General features: G+C 36.3%; 1 protein-coding gene across 8 annotated transcripts in view, besides 1 other annotated feature; it reads right to left on the reverse strand.

The window, feature by feature from the left end:
* SRBD1 (S1 RNA binding domain 1) overlaps positions 1-18,190 on the reverse strand; it is a 222,588-nt gene that overhangs the window by 117,527 nt on the left and 86,871 nt on the right. The gene's annotated exons all lie outside the window — the stretch shown is intronic.
* Positions 4,764-5,058: a silencer, noted in NCBI's record as "tiled region #7031; HepG2 Repressive non-DNase unmatched - State 16:ElonW". NCBI's record gives its function as "represses a minimal TATA promoter and a strong SV40 promoter by Sharpr-MPRA in HepG2 cells {active_cell/tissue: HepG2}" and the evidence as "EXISTENCE:reporter gene assay evidence [ECO:0000049][PMID:27701403]".

Consider the following 18,190-nt stretch of genomic DNA (forward strand, 5'->3'; position numbering starts at 1 on the left):
ATGATTAATAATACAATCCATCCATGGAAAAAGCAAATTTGTTCTCATTTAGGTTTTTATTCTCTATTGGAATACACAAAGGGATCACTGGGACAAAGATTCATACTTCAAAACCACCTCAGTTCCTCTCTTATGGCACAAGATAAAGCACAAGCAGGAGCCAGGACTTTACTTGTATTTAACTTAGTAATACTTTAACATAAAACAGTGCCAACAGAAAGGCCTTTGGAAGTATCTAGAACAGGTATGATCTTCTAATTCTCTCACAGAGAAGCTGGAGTTTCCTCCAGCTTTTTTACTCCCTAATGACATTTTTTATTCCCCACTGACATTTATTTGCCATACACTTGTGCCTATTTCACACTAAATCAGCCCAGGGGAGCCTATATTATCTTGCCTTGTCATCAGCTAGCAAGTACTATTCTTAAACTCTATGCTCAAGTAATTTCTCATCTTTGTATTTTCAGATCTTCTTCTAAGACCAATTAAAATATACAGCATGAAAAGGATAAAAACACCAATTAATACAGACCCATAGTCATTTGAAGACCAAGAGTACTCTCACACGTATGTTCTACAGTTTAAAAATCAAATGTAAATTAAATAGTGCATATTAAATAGTGTTTTCTAAATTAATTTCTTATTCACCATTTAGTCTGCAGGTTTCCAGTTCTTTAAAACAAGTCATTTTGATATGATTTCCATGTCTGCTGTCTTTTTTCCCACACACTTGGCTGACTTAATTGATTCCAGACTTCCTAGCATCTCATGTATCTGTGTTATAGACTGAAATAGAGGGTTTTGTTTTTCATTAATATGGATAAAAACCAATTTGTGCTCATGTTTGGCGTATAGTAAAGAATGAGTGTTGGTAAAAACGAGGTCTGATGCTGTTGTCAAGAAATGTTTATTGCTTAAGATCATGAAAATGGTAAACAGACACATGAAATGGAAAAGCTCTGCATTATCAGACTTGGTATGTATCTCAACTGAAATACAAGCAGGACTAACCAGACACACATCTCATAATTTCCAGTGTCACTGTACAATCATATTAACAGTGGTCAGTTTTTTTCAATCCACAGAAAAGCAAGCAGACAAACCAAGGCACTTAAATGTCACTTGGCTAATGACTCTCATTTCAACCTCTTTGATTAAGCCAAATCACAAAAGACTATGCTTATCAAAATCACAGAACATTCTCTGAAACTTAAAAATAATCCATATTAGGCTGGGCGCGGCGGCTCACGTCTGTAATCCTTGTACTTTGGGAGGCTGAGGCGGGTGTGGATCACCTGAGGTCCGGAGTTCAAGACCAGCCTGGCCAACATGATGAAACCCCATTTCTACTAAAAATACAAAAAATTAGCCCGGCATGGTGGCGGGCACCTATAATCCCAGCTACTCAAGAGGCTGAGGCAGGAGAATTGCTTGAACCCAAGAGGTGGAGGTACAGTGAGCTGAGATCGTGCCACTGTACTCGAACCTGGGCAACAAGAACAAAACTCCGTCTCAAAAAAAACAAAAAACAAAAACAAACAAAATAATAATAATAATAATCCATATTCAGTCAATTCTCCCTTAAAGCCATGAAAATCGTCTAAAATCTCTTTTGATATCCCTGGCAATTTTCAAACTTAATTGTTGGGCCTAATTTTTGGCAAATACATTTTATCTTAACAATTCTCAATGCTCAGATGAATTCATAAGTGGCAGAAAAAAAGAACCAAAATAAATAAATAAATAAATGAACATAACCTGGTCTAATCTTACCTAAAAGGAATGACATTTCTCCCATCCCTTCTTACTGTCCCCTGACACAAGTTCTTAAAGCCTGACCGATAGATATTTACATAATTTTTAAAACACAATATGCTAAACAAATTTAGAAGGTTGTTCAGCTATTCAGTCACACTATAATTTAAATGTATATATTCTTGAAAATTGTTTTTAAATATAAAAAATAACACAAATTAGAAGAAAGCTAAAGCTGTGTTCTTGAAATTCCCAAAGGTAAAAGAGGAAAAGAAAAGTTACAGCTGTCACTTAATACATACTGAACACCATGTGTAAAGAAAACTGGCAATATAATCTCATACTGAAGAATTTAAACTACAGACTTCCTGATTTTCCGGTGCTGGAAATTACCTCTAACAGAAACTATACACAATGGCTGAAGAAACTTTTAAAATTATTTTATTTCCCCTAAGTTTATTTTAAGCATAAAGCCTCCATTCCAAAATAAATTTTAAAGGACTTGATGTTGTCCTAAAAATATAGTCTTTTATATGACAGGACTCCAGTGAATTTTTCCTGTTAAGTTTTCCAACTCAAAATTAGGACAACTACATGTGAAATTAGTATCTCTAATATTATTGTAGTATATCACACACATGGAGTCATATTCCAGCATTATTTTCAGTTAAAAGTTAAAAAAACAAAAACAAAAGTATGTTAGAATACAAACTCAATGTGTGATATGCTATGTTGACTTAACTTTGACTTTTTTATTCTTAGAACTTTTTTTCTTAGAGGAAAATAGAATAGTGATATTTCTTCTTTATGAGCAATTTTACCCAGTGAATTGCTAAAGATAATAAATGATTTTTACTAAAATAAATGTAAAAATGATTAAAGTCATAAGTCTTCATGAAACGAATTATTTACAGTCACAGGCATTCTTAGACAATTTTCCCTATGTTTAAATGAGAGAAGAAAAAAGGAAGAGAAAGAAAAAAAGCAGACAGAAAAATGTTTGCAGGGCACGGTGAGTTGGGAGGTGGGGGCAGGGAGGTGCAGAGAAAGAGAATACATGCTAGTACACAAATTGACATGACCACCAAATCCATTAAAATTTTTTCTTTCACTAAAGTACTTACGATACAAACTAATAATGGCTTGTTCTGAAGCAACATAACTAATTGATATCAAGCAACCTACTTCTCCAAATCATCTACCTACCCTAATCTCCGAGGGATATATTGTTAATAAAATCAATGCATTTTCCTCATCTAGAATAAGTCACTATTATGAGCAAATTTGAGAGTATCAGTTTCTAACCTTACCTAGTAAAAAACAAAATTTTACGTATTAGAAACACACACACAAGGCAGGGCATGGTGGCTCACGCCTGTAATCCCAGCACTTTGAGAGGCCGAGGCGGGCGGATCATGAGGTCAGGAGATCGAGACCATCCTGGCTAACACAGTGAAACCCCATCTCTACTAAAAATACAAAAAATTAGCCGGGCGCGGTGGTGGGCGCCTGCAGTCCCAGCTACACGGGAGGCTGAGGCAGGAGAATGGCGTGAACCCAGGAGGCGGAGCTGGCAGTGAGCAGAGATTGCACCACTGCACTCCAGCCTGGAGGACACAGCAAGACTCCGTCTCAAAACACACACACACACACACACACACACACACACACACACACACACACACGCAAAGAAGAAACTAAAGGTCATATTTTCCCTTTCTTCCAATCTACTCCCCAGGCTTAGAAACCAGGTTTGTCTCCAGATATTTTTCTTTTTCCTTTTTCTCTTTTAAGACAGGGTCTCACTCTGCTGCCCAGGCTGGAGTGCAGTGGCGCAGTCTCAGCTCACTATAGCCTTGTATTCTTGGGCTCAAGTGATCCTCCCATCTCAGCCTCCTGAGTAGCTGGGATTACAGGCGTGTGCCACCATGTCCATCTAATTTTTAAATATTCAGTAGAGACAAGGTCTCACTACGTTGCCCAGGCTGGTCTCAAACTCCTGAGCTCAAGTGATCCTCTCACCTTGGCCTCCCAAAATGTTGGGATTACAGATGTGAGCCACCATGCCCAGCTAGATATTTTTTCAAACACCTATTTCATTTCTAGTTTGGCTATTTAAATATCCCCCCAAATACTTGGAGAAACACAGATTTCTAAGATAATTTTTCAGAAACAAATTAGCACGCATGTTTATGTGTGTATATACTCTACTTGTTTAAAGCTTTAACTTCATTATTTAAAAATGTAAGTTTTCTGTTATATAGAGATATACACACAAACACACAAAGAACCTGTAACTAAAATTAGTCTTATTCTACCATTTTCAAGTGTGGGAAGGGATATTTTTAAAACAAAGAGTACTTTTTGAGTTAGAAAGATGTAGACTATAATACAATTAAAGGATAAAGGAGCATACAATTCACACATTTTACACCTAAATTTATTGTCCTTCTGGAAAGCTATGTTTTTCTCACAAAGATTAGAATTTACTGCATTACCCTCTAAAATACAGAAAAATCTTTCCACTGTGTTAGACTATTTTAGGTGAGGCTCCTATGAAAAAAACAGCCAAGCAGCTTGAACTATCACATTAAATGGATCACAGGGTTTATAAAGTGCTGTTTCAAAGGCATTCCCCACACTAAGTATCACAAACAGCAAGAGAAGACTCCACTTCAGGCCCAAGACTAAAATCGTTTCCCTGAATTGTTTCTTGTCAAATTAAAATGTCAAAAATTATTCTATCAAATTCTGTCCCTAAGGATTCTAGCTCAATCCAAAGAGTAGCTACCAATTAGTAAAGTCGGGCCTTTTAACAGTACAAGAAATTTTTTTTCTATTGATATGTAAAATTAGCAGGTTCCAAAAAGAAAAGTTTCATCTCAGCAGTTAGGTTAAGTGCTACTGATAGCTATAATCACATGCAGGCTGCAACTCCTTTTTGAAAGGCTTTTCAAATGAACAAATACAAAGAAAAAAAGAGAAGCACAAGTGTTTTCATAGTGAATGACTGCCTAGGATTATAGTTATAAAAAGCCAAGGTTAGAGATCCAGATATCCATGAGTATTGCGAACCAACAAACCAAAGTCAAACGAAATCCTTGCTCCCTCTTTTGACAAGGTCAGTGCACCCATCCCTTAGCACAATAACCGACTGAATTGCAGGCTGTACAAGGTGCTCCAGGAAAATAAAATCTACCACCAATCATTTAACGTTTTTCTATTGCTTTGGATGAGCAAATAAAATCCTCTAAGAAAAACATTTCCTGTTCACTTTGTTGTTTCGCCAAAGCTGCGTATCTTCGGAAACTGACTTGTTAGCAGTATCCGTTCATTAGCAGCATAAATATGCAGATGTAATAAGATGTTCTTGGCAGCAAATCATACTGTATCTTTTTCACTTGCCACTCCAGATGAATTTTTATAGTACATTTATAATTTATCCACAGAAGTAAGAGTCATGTTCATCTACCAGAAAGAGCTATGAGTGTTCATGAACTTCCCCCAAAAAGTTCTAAAACTTTATGTCAAGGAATAGAAATACAAATAACAGGAAAAACATGCTCACATATAAGACCGTTTACATGAGGCAGGTACTTAAGTTGCCTAAGTTTACGGTTTGGCAAAAATCATCAAATGACCTGTGGCTACTAGAGTGATCAAAGTTTCAATTTTAACTGTGGCGAGAAACAATGTTATCGGCAAAAATTCAATGGTATATATTCCCATGCATATATTCCTTCTGCACTTTTCATAAGAAGCCTCTTAGACTTGAATTATCAAATACTTCCCAGTGCTGACGCTTTTTAAAGTCTCCATTCCCAGATACCAAGCTTTTTGGCATTGTGGCTAAGCAGTGACAAACAGATCATTTCCTATTGATTCTACTTACCTCATCAAGACTGCTAGAATCCAGTTATGTAAAGAATTATTTTCAACAGCCACCTTCAATTACAAATGTATGACATGATCACAGACTTCCAATGCTAATCTCCTTTCTAGTTGAAATACCCACACAAGAGCCCTTTGAGACACACAGCATGGCTACGTGATTTGCTTTGCTTTATCCTGCAAAGAGGCTGAAATACACTGGAATCTTCTCTTCTCCATAGTTAATGCAATACACATCTTTTATGCAAAGTGGTATGCAGACCAACATGCTTTTGTCAAGATATGAGTCTTGCCAAAGGGATTTTCTTGGTTAAAACACTATTTCTCTAACTTGAGCTTCTAAACCTGAAGGCTGCTTAAAGAAAAGGAAAGAAAATCTTCATGTAATTGACTATCATTTCTCCAAGTGTTTTACCTATAGACCATACTTCCTTAGTTTACATACATTTGCATGACTTGAATACTACATCTGTAACTTCAGAGTCCTATTGGAACCACAATTCTGGACTTAGAAACTTTCAGCCTAGTTTACTGAGAATACGCATCACTTACCCAATGAAAAGAAAAACTGAATCTATGAAGGATAATCCTATCAACATACTAAATTGTACTTATCTGTTGAAGAGATACTTTTAAATTCCAAAAAATAACAATTTTCTGGCACACTAAATTCAGGCATTTACACCAAGGGCAAATATCGAACTCTACTATTTCCATGTGACAACCAACTAGGGCTTTGAACAGAAAGACAATCATTGTGCTTTACGTGTAGGAGGATTCATGAAAATCTTAAACTGAATTTTTATAAGTCAAAATCCATTTTAAATGCAACAAAGAGCTCACCAGCTAAAGGAACTACAAAGTTAAATTTTTACATTGCCAAAGATTCACTGGTAAAGTGCTGATTATCCCTTATTTTATGAACTTTTAACTTATGATTGTATGTTTGGAATTTGTGTAAGTGAATATTTTTCTTTATGCCTGTATTATTCCTAGGCTAGTCATGGAAATATGGACCTCCAAATTCTGTTAGAGAAAAAAAAGGTCTGTCCCCTTTAACCTACTAAGGGAAGTAGAAAGAGACACAAACCTCATGCTGAGAAGGACCAAGCAAGCACACAATAAACACACAAATTACCCCCAGAACACATGCCCCTCTGACAACAGAAAGCAAAATCAAAAAGCAAGAAATCAAGCTCTACTTTGCTGTCAAATGCTCTACCCCTGAGCTATATACCCCCATGGCCTCAAACTCTACTTTGAAACTCTTTCCTTCCTGGCCCTAACAATATTCTTCTATAATTTTTATCCCATGGCTCCAGCAAGAACATATCCATAGGATAGCATGCCAGAGAGCTGGACAGATCTTTCCCCACATTCTTCATCATACGAAACTGTGTTAGCCCAAACGTAATCCCTAACTATTTCTTGCCATCTGCTGAGATTTCAGGCTCAAAAAAGATGTCCAGTTATAATGAGAATATATGGTATGTAGTCTAGTAGTCTAGTTATGTAACAAGGGCTAGATTACAAGCTGAAAGTTCCTCTTCTCCAGAATGCCCCTTAAGGAAAAAAAAAAAACAACTGACCAGTTAATAAAATACTTCGTTTCAGCCTAGCACTGAGACAAATTCTCTTCATGCTGAATTCTAAAGTGCATAAAAGTTGAAGAAGATGAAAAATTCAAAAGGTGTTATATTTCACAACCTTAATAAAAACTATTTGGCAGAGTTTAGGACCTATAAAGAACAAACTCTGGCTGGCTTGATCATTGAGCCCTCAGGTCCCTTCAAGAAAATGAGGAGTTAGAGCAGATCTTTGAGGGTATTCTGACTCAAATACCGTATCATGTATAATTTACGAAAATTCTTTAATGCTGAAAAAAAGATGAAAATTCATTAATCTGAATGTAAATTCGGTCTTGTTCAAAACAGTTTTTTTTTGTTTGTTTGTTTTTGCTATTGTCTCCTCAACCAAAGATAAAAGGTAAAAATTAAAGGATGCTAAAGACAAGTTTATTCTCTCAATTCAAACTTTCTGGTAATAGCTACCATATTAAAACAATGGAGAGGTGGAAAGGCTGCATGGTGTGCTAGGACTTTGAGATTTAGAATCAGATGATTTGGACTTAAGTCCAAACTCTTTCATCATATTAGTTTATCAGTTTTCAGTTCAGTTTCCTCACCTATCAACTGTGAACAACACTTACAACCACGGGGTTAAAGTAAGAAATAAATAAGAATAGGTATAAAAATACTTGATAAATAGCAGTAAAGCCATGGGATATGATTACGAAAAGTCTGAATTAAAGAATTTACTAAAATCTACTTTTATTCATCTCTAAGAAAAAGTACATTTGAAATTCTTACAATTAAGTGTATTATTTCCTATAACCTGATTTTTCACAAATTTCCAGTTCATGAAATCACATTCAACGAAGTGGTGAAATAGTAACAAAGCAAATAAGTAGGGGCCATTTGTTGTGAAGAAGTAACATCCAGGATAACCACCAGTTCTAAATAATGCAAATATAGTTTCACAAGTGTATGAGTATGAACCTCAAAAAAAATATGAAAAATAAAATTTGTGACAACTTATCTATGAAAAGGGAAAAAAACGACTGCTTTACCACTGCGTTTAACTCCTAAAGTGCTACTGAGTGCATTCCAACACAAGTCATTTAGCTAACATTTAAACTAAAATTTGGCAGAAAAATAATTTTCTTATATGCCTACATAATACATGGCTAGAATGAAAACAAACGTGTCACACTTCTGGATCCTTCTCAGCCAGAATCATATGGGATGGCGGCGGGGAGGGTACTGAAACTGTCTGAGTTCTTCTGGCTCTATCATTACAGAACTCAATGAATAGGCTCAGTCAGGATTTCCAGAGGAAACACCTATTTTCATCCCAGTCTCTCTGGAATAAATACTTTTGAAAGTGTTCCAATTTGCACTTAAACCACTTTTAAAATTACTAACAACTTCCTTATACCTTACAAATTTAATGGCACTAACAATTTTCAAAGCATTTTCAAACAAAAACTCCAAGTCTATCTTAGACTATGAACAGCTGTAACAGACCATATTCTTGATCAAATATTCTTATTCAGTCTTTTAATCACTGGATGTCACTTTTTAATTTTAAAAGGAATTTCTGTATTTCATAAGAAAACATAACACTGAGCAATATGACTAAGACACTTGGAAATTAATACTGTTTCAAGCTCAAGAACAGCAAATTCCATGAGAACATGGGAACAAGAGAGAGTAGAAGAAATTATATCCTATATACATGTGGAACCATTTCAGAATTAAAGGAGATTTATTATTAGCTACTGAGTGTTAACATTTGCAGTTTCTATGGTCAGACACTGTTATCCTACATGTGTATTAATTTCTTTAACTATCACAGCAAACCTATTATTATCCCATATAGTAGCTGAAGAAACGAAGGTAGAGAGGTTGGGTAATTTGTTAAAGGTTATACAACTAGTAGGTGGCAGAGCTGGGATCTAAGCACAGACAGTCTTACTCAAGAACCCATATTCTTAACCCATATTGTGAGCTATATACTATATTCAGTACAGCGTAGATATCTTATTTAATTCACATATTCCTGAGATGTGGGTATTTTAGAAAACTGAAGCTCAGAAAGATTCAAAAACTTGCCCAAAGTCAGCCAGCTAGCAAGAAGCAGAGCTGAGGTTCAAATCCAAGACTGTATAACTCTGGAGTCTACGCTCCTTGACTTGGCACTATATTACCTCCTAAGGAGGCAGTGACTCTACCACCATGACAACCCCTAACTGATCACTATGCTGTTTCTCCTCCTCTTTCTCACCTGATTGTTGTCTTAATAGAGAAGGTATGAAAACAAAAATAGATTACATGAAGAAAGAAAATCAGCAGCCAAGAAAGACCTGAAAGATGATTTAAGTACAATGTTGTAATATTTCTAAGTTATCTCTATACAGAAAGACCACTGTCAACAATTTCTATCATCAGTAGGCAGGTCATAAATTCACCTTTTCATAATCACTGGGCATGGTGGCTGATTCACTCCATGACAAGTCCCACAGACACACTCTAAAGGGAATCCCTAGATATAACTACTTCAGCAGCCCCTGCCTTGCCCTCTGTGTTACCTATGTTTTTCTTCCACTCTCAAAACACTCCTAGTCAAGTATTCAGCCTTGACTTTAAACACAGAGGAAAGAAAAGGATAGATCTAATTAGCACATTTCAAAGTGCCAGGAACTGTGTTTAATTAAAAAACAAAATTTTATATATAACACTAAATATATGAATTGTACCAAGGGCTAAAATGAGAATCTTTTGCTCTTAAAAAGGGGACAAAATAGACATTCCAAACATGTAAACAAAAATATATGACAGTACACTATTACTTTTCGAAAATAAATATTAGGGATAAGCAGCAGCTGGAGCTGTTTTGAAAGGTGGGATCTGTGTGCTTAATGGTACCCCTGCCCCCACAAAAATCCACATTCTGAAAAAGTACCATAAAATATGCACATGCAATAAGATACTATTCGGCCATCCTTAAAAATGATGAGAAGCCTTTAAAATGGTACTTGTCTGTAACACATTAATGAGTGAAGGAAAAAACAGGTATCACTGTTAAATTATGTAACACACACACACAACAGATATATCTGGAATAGTGTTCACCAATACAATAATGATTGTTACCCCTTGAAGGAAGTAGAGATAATTCTCTACATTGCTCTTTGGATTATTCTGTACTGTTAAAAGTGCTTACAGGAGTAGATAGTTCCACAAAAACAATAAAAATATTCTTAATTTGTAAGTGTAGAGGTATAAAAACATACATTCTGATTTCATCAAAAAAGTATTGCTTTTTAAAAAAAGCTAAGTACCCTCACCATATAGATGCTGTAAGGAATTTTAACATGGTTCTGCAGGAAAGGCATTTTGTTAATATAAATAAAAGATATATTAGAATCCATAGGTTCTGGTTAACACAGAATATATTAATTGAGTCACTCAATGTATGAGTACCATATGCTAGGCACACTCTTATGTCTGAGGATACATCAGTAAATAAATACCCAAACATGTCCTGCACCCATGGAGCTTACATGTTAGCCAATATTTACTAATCCTTAAATTTTAAAAAGTGTGCAGCCCAATAGCTAAAAACATACATAGCAATGTTATAGCAAAAAGTTAAAATATACCAAGAAATTAGCTCTTCAGAAGGGTTGTACTAATTCATACACAGTAATGAGGGTATCTAAAGCACCATATAATCATCATAATTAAATATCATTTAAACAGTTTAAAATTCAGTTCAAACGTTATCAGGCCATGTTCTCTTCCTATTGTTTTCTATGTGTGTTTTATCTTTTAAATGGTTAGCTCTGCTTTGGCATTTTCTGTTGTTTTTATTGCTCTCTGTTCCTGTTTTTACGACTATCACATTGCTTTGTAATATGTTTAATTTCAATTAGAACTCAACTTTTACATAAGTGAGTTCATTATAACATGTTGTGGTAACAAAGAAGACTAAAAAACAAGTAGGTTACAGCAGAGCAACTAAAAGCAGAAAAAACTGTGAAATCCTTTGGATTAGGTGAAAGCAATTTCACGGCAATGAAAGACTAATGTGACAAGTTCTGACCAAGTCTGTATACAGCTAAGTCATCAAGCATTAATCAGAAATTTCCCGTTAATCCTAAGTAAAAGTTAACTCTCAACTCAGTCTCTGAATATGAGTTTCAGAAATAACTTGGTCAATTTTATTCAGTTTATATTTTATTTTTTTCTATGTACAAGAGTAACTTATGATAACAATTTATGTCTAGATAATTCAAGGCTGGGCGTGGTGGCTCACACCTATAATCCCAGCACTTTAGAAGGCCAAGACAGGGGGATAGTTTGAGCCCAGAGGTGTCAGACCAGCCTGGGCAACATAGCAAGATCTTGTCTGTACCAAAAACATTTTTTTTTTAATTAGCTAGATCTGGCAGCACGTGCCTGTACTCCCAGCTACTCTGGGGGCTGAGGTTGGAGGATCCCTTGAGCCTGGGAGGTTGAGACTGCAATGAGCCACAACTGCACCACTGCACTGCAGCCTGGGTGACAGGGAGCCTATCTCAAAAAATAATGATGATGATGATAATTCAAAAGCTCTCTTTATTTGATGAGAAAGTGTAATATCATAATAGGCAGGCTTTTTTTCCCCTTAAAGTTACCCTTAAAAAGGTGTGTCTTAAAATGGGTAACATCCTAGATTAACTGAAATACAATAATATATTTAGCCTCCACAATAATCCTGTAAGTATTATCATCATCATTTTTACAGGTAGAAAAACTGAAAGTAAATAATTCACCCAAGAGCATAAAACTAGCAAAATATCCAAATTTATGTGGAAACCAGATATCTGGCTCTGCTGTGCGATACTGCCCCTTCAAAAAGTCTACTGAATATTTAAGTAATTATCCACTATACCTACCTTCTAATTTACTTGAGCACTGCTATATGAGATTATTTTGAGCAGAATGAATGACAGAACCGTATTATAATTTCCAAACTAGGCTGGCAGCATTTGTCAGTCCAGTTGTTTGCTGAGTGGAGTGGAAGAGAGAAAAAGAATTTAGAGGCTGGTAGAGGCCTCATGGCCCCACCTCATACCTCTCATTACCTTAATCTACAGCACCTTGTTACATGGAAACCATGACTAAGGACAAGTCGGTAATAATCTTCCAACTTACATTTATACAACATGTTTGGTGCCTTTGTAAGAATCAACCAAGGAAACATCTTTTTTATGTTTTGGACAGACTATAAAGGGATAGTCTGAAAAAGCACAGATCATAAAATAACAACCTATAAATTTTCTATATAAAGGATACAGCTGTATTGCAGCAAATAAATCTCTTCAAACACAAATATCTAATTTGACTTGTTTTGTTTACGTTAATGAGGCAACAATTTACAAACTGCCAAAACATGTACTGTTTTGGTTTGTACAAGTAAAAAAAATTATTTAAATCTCATTTTTCCCAGAGAGAAATGACAGATTTGAGCTTTCTCAGGGTGAGCTCCTAAGAACGAATAAGGCTAAAAAAAAAAAAAAAAAATCTCACCATTTTTCTCTAGCAGAATTTCTAGCAAAGTATATTGAGAAAGCCTAGAAAATTGGTAGGTAAGACAAAAAGCTGTAACAAAACTTAAAGCTATTCTAGGAGTGACTATAAGCTATAATTTTTTAATCAAATCATATTTATAGCTCTACAAAGGTTAAACAAGATAGCTCCTGAAGGAGGGCACTAAAAAAGAAAACAAAATGTTTAGTTTTTATAGATAAGTAAAAATTTCAGTTATTCCCAGAAAAGACAAACAGTACAACTTTATAACCCTCATCATACTCCTGTACTCAGGGGTCCTAAACTATACAACATGGGGACCCCACTGGCCTCACTACCACCTCACTTCAGACCCACACATTTCAAACTAAACCTTGGCCGCCATTGGTCCAGGGAAACAAAAGCCTTAACTAAAGTAAAGAAACAAAAAGTTCATCTGGCCTGTTAACGCTTACAAGGACCCAGGTGCTGGCCACTTAAGTAGTTTACAAGAGTATCTTTGATTAAGCATGATTTTCATTGTGTCTCCTGTGTCCTCCAAAGGTGATTATTCCATTCATACTCTTTCATTTCCTTAAATATATTCAACATTCTTACATTATATTCTTTACTCAGTAATTCCGACAACTGCAGTGTTTGGTGGTTCAAAAGAAAATTTTGTCCCTTCTTCTAACTCAGGCACATACATTATGTGATTTTTTAAAAATTTTTGTTTATTTTTCCTGGAATTTTAGTTTCAAGAAATCTTTGATGCTTGTTAAATGTGTTGACTTTCAGAGAAGGTGGCATGTGTCTCTGCTATACAGTAATGGAGCCTTCTTCTAAGTACTCGCATATGTTAACTCATTTAATCCTTGCAACAACCTTATAAGGTTACTATTTATTATTATTCCCATTTTACATATGAGGAAAACAAGGCACAGAAGGGTTAAGTAACCAAACCAAGACCAAAAAGCTAATAAGTATTGGAATTATGATTCAAACTCAGGCAGATCAGACAGAAAAGTGATGATCTTAACCACTGCCCTGTACAAGTTCTTTATCCTTAGAAAAAATACATTTAAAGCAAGAGACACTAACAGGACAAAAGTAAAAAAATAGAAAATTACATCCCAGGCAATTATAATACTACTTAAAAAGACAGATGTTCCAGATGTCAGCCAAATAGAGTCCAACAAGCTGTCAGCATGAGCAGCACAAAAACAGCAGCAGGGTACCTGGCCTCAATGGTACTTTTGTGCTGTTACTGGGTCAAGTCAAGCCCATGTCTGCAGGAGCACATATGCTAAAGCTATCAATCTGGTTCTAGTGAGGATGATCCAGAAGAGACCCTCCTCCAAAGCCCCATGGCCAGTCCAGGCAGTAGTGTGAGAATATGGATTAGCACCTGCTGACACTGCCACAGGCTGTTTGCTTTAGGCATTTCTGGTGACAGTTACAAGATCCCTGAATTTGCTACAGACAGGAGACAGGGAAATACGGGGGAGAAGAGGGCAGTTCCCCGGCAAAGGCCCCACCCTCAAACCTGGATATCCATGGCCCTAGTGAGATACAGGCATTCTTGTTTTCGTGCCCAAAAAGTTGCCTTTTGGCCCACCATGCCTTCCTATCCTGAACCCATAAAAACCCTGAACCCCAGGCTCCAGGAGCAGATGAAGAGACAAGCAAATGGCAGAATGGCGCAGCAGAGAAAGAGGAGAGAAGGAGCATCTGAACACCAAGATGAGTTTGGCTGGGGGTGGTCGGAGAGAAGAATCAGCCACTGTACAGCCAAACTCCAGGGGAAGATCATCTTCCCACTATATCCCCTTGTCCAGCTCCCATCCATCTGGCTGAAAGCCACCTCCACCACTCAGTAAAACCCCCACATTCACACTCTTCAAGTCCATGTGTAACCCAATTCTTCCAGGATGTTGGACAACAGCTTGGGATACAGAAAGCTATTGCAATGGCCCTCTGCCCTTGCAAAAAGGCAGAGGGTCCTCTGAGCTGGTTAACACTTAAGCCATCCATGGACGTCAAGGCTAAAAGAACACACTGTAACATATGTCCACTTGGGCTCCTGCAACTGTCTGTCCGCATGCTCCCCCTCCCATAAGAGGTTTGAACAGCGGCAGCAACTAAACAGACAAGCCACACCCCTGTCGCACGTCCTGCAAGGGGAGTCAGGGAAGTCTCCCGTTCCAAATCCACTACCTAGATGACACCCAATGACTGCAGGGAGCTAGAAACACAGAGGGGGAAAGTGCCAGTTCCACAATATATAAGAACTCCTACAACTCAACAACAAAAAGGAAAACACACACACACACACACACACACACACACACAAACCAAACTCGAAAACAGGCAGAGGAGTTGAATAGACATTTCTCCAATTAAGAGATACAAATAGCCAATAAGCACATTAAAAGATGTTCAACATCTTAGTCACTAGGGAAATGTAAGTCAAAACCAAAATGAGATATCACTGCACCCCTACTAGATGTCTATAATTTTAAAAAGAGAAAATAATAAGTGCTGACAAAGATGTGAAGAAACTGGACCCCTCATGCATTGCTGGTAGGAATATAAAATGGTGCAGCCATTATGATAACTCAAGATTTGATAGTTCTCAAAAATCAAAATATACAATTTGATTGTATATTTACACTCCTACATATATATTACCAGCAATTACACTCCTAGGTATATATCCAAAAGGATTGAAAGCAGGAATTCAAATCCCAGCACTTTAGGTGGCCAAAGTGGGAGGATCACTTGAGCTTAGGAGTTCTACACTAGCCTGGGCAACATGGTGAAACCCTGTCTCCACAAAACAATTTAAAAATTAGCCAGGCATGGTGGCACGTGCCTCTAGTCCCAGCTACTCAGGAGGCTCAGCTGGGAGGATCGCTTGAGCCTGGGAGATTGAGGCTGTAGTGAGCCATGATCATGCCACTGCACTCTAGCCTGGATGACAGAGCAACATCCTATCTCCCAAAAAAAGAAAGAAAGAAAGAAAGAAGAAAAAAAAAAGGAGAAAGCAGAGATTCAAACAGATAATGTATACCAATGTTCATAGCAGCACTATACACAATAGCCAGTAGGTGAAAATCACCCAAGTGTACATCAACAGACAAATGGATAAACAAAATATCGTATAGATTGAGCATCCCAAATCCAAAAATCTAAAATAAAAAAATGCTCCAAAATCTGAAATTTTTTTTTTTTGACAGAGGGTCTCATTCTGTTGCCCAGGCTAGAGCAGTGGCATGCACTGCAACCTCGACCTCCCAGGGTCAAGTGATCCTCCTAGCTCAGCCTCCCAAGTAGCTGTAGCTGGGACTACAGGTATGCACCACCACACCAGGCTAATTTTTTTATTTTTAGTAGAGATGGAGTTTACCATATTGCGAGAGCTAATCTAGAGCTCCTGGGCTCAAGCAATCCTCCTGTCTCAGCCTTCCAAAGTGCTGGGATTATGGGCATGAGCCATGCATGGTGCCTGGCCCAAAATCTGAGCACAAACATGATACTCAAAGGAAAGCTCACTGGAGCATTTTGGATTAGGGATGCTCAACTGTTAAGTATATAATGCAAATACAGTTGACCCTTGAACAACATGGGTTTGAATCATACTAAAATTTTCCTCCATTTCTGCCATCCCTGAGATACCAAGACCAACTCCTCCTCTTCCTTTTTCTCTTCAGCCTACTCAAATAAAGATGATAAGGATGAAGACCTTTATGATGATCCACTTCCACTCAATCAATAATAAGTATATTTTCTCTTTCTTACAATTTTCTTAACATTTTCTTTTCTCTGGCTTACTTTATTGTAACAATATCGAATACAAGACGTATAACATACAGAACATGTGTTAATCAACTGTTTATGTTATCAATAATGCTTCCAGTCAACAGTAAGCTATTACTAGTTTTAGGGAGTCAAAAGTTATACACAAATTTCTGACTACACAGAGGGGGTCAACATCCCAACCTCCACATTGTTCAAGGGTCAGATGTATTCTAAAATCTGAAATCTTAAAAAAACTTCTGGTCCCAAGCATGTGATATAAAGGATACTCAACATGTGTATGAAACAGAATAATTAATGAGTCAAAAAAGAAATGAAAAAGGACATTAGAAAATATACTTTGAGATAAATAAAAATGAAAACACAACATACCAAAACTTAAGAAATAAAACTAAAGGATATAGCTAAGAACTATAGTTATAAATGCCCATATTAAAAAAAGAAGAAACATCTTAAATCAATAACCCAACCTTCCACCCAAAACGCTGGAAAAAAAAAAAAAAAAAGCAAACTAAACCTAAAGTAGGCAGAAGGAAGGAAGTAATAAAGATTACAGCAGAACTTAATAAAACAAAGAAGAGAAAAATAATAAAGAAATGAACTCCAAAGTTGAACTCAAAAGTTGGTTCTTAGAACATATTAACAAAATTGACAAACCATTAGCTAGACTGACCAAGAAAAAGAAAGAAAGAAAGACTTAAATTACTAAAACTAGAAATGAACAGGGGACATTATTACTGACCTTAGAGAATTAAAAATTATTATAAGAACAACTGTGTATGCCAATATATTAGATAACAAAGATGCAACTGACAAATTACTGGAAAGACACAAACTACCAAAAATGACTCAAAAAGAAATAGACAATCTGAATAGACCAATAACAAATAAGGATACTGAATTTGTAATTAAAAAAAAAATACCCACAATCCAGGTGGTTTTAAAACTGAATTCTACCAAACATTTAAAAAAAGAATTAATATCAATTCACAAACTCTTCCAAAAAACAGGAGGGGAGAACACTTCCTAATTCATTCTAAAAAGCCAACATTACCCTAATATCAAAATCAAAAAAAGACACCACAGGAAAAATACCAAATAATATCTCTTATGAATATGAATGCAAAAATTCTTAACAAAATACTAGCAAACCAAATCCAACAACACCATCACCAAGTGGGATTTATCCCAAAAATGCAAGACTGATTCAACAACCAAAAATCAATTAATACAGTACATACAATCATGTCAACAAAATTAAAAACAAAATTCATATGATCGCAGAAACAAAAAAAGGAGTTTGACAGAAGGGAGTATCTTTTCATGATAGAAATACTCAACAAACTAGAATTAGAAGGGAAATTCCTTGATCAGGTAAAAAGCATGTAGGAAAAACCCACAGTCAACAACACAATTAATGATGAAAGACTGGATGTTTCCCCTAAAACAGGAACAAGATGAGAATGTCTGCTCTTGCCACTTCTATTCAACACTGCATTGAAGCTTCTAGCTATGGTAATTAGGCAAGAAAAAGAAATAAAAGACAAATACCCATAGTAGAAAGGAAGAAGATGATCTCTATTCACAGATAACATTATTTTGCATATAGA

This window comes from Homo sapiens, chromosome 2 (assembly GCF_000001405.40).
Source record: "Homo sapiens chromosome 2, GRCh38.p14 Primary Assembly".
Lineage (NCBI taxonomy): Eukaryota > Metazoa > Chordata > Mammalia > Primates > Hominidae > Homo > Homo sapiens.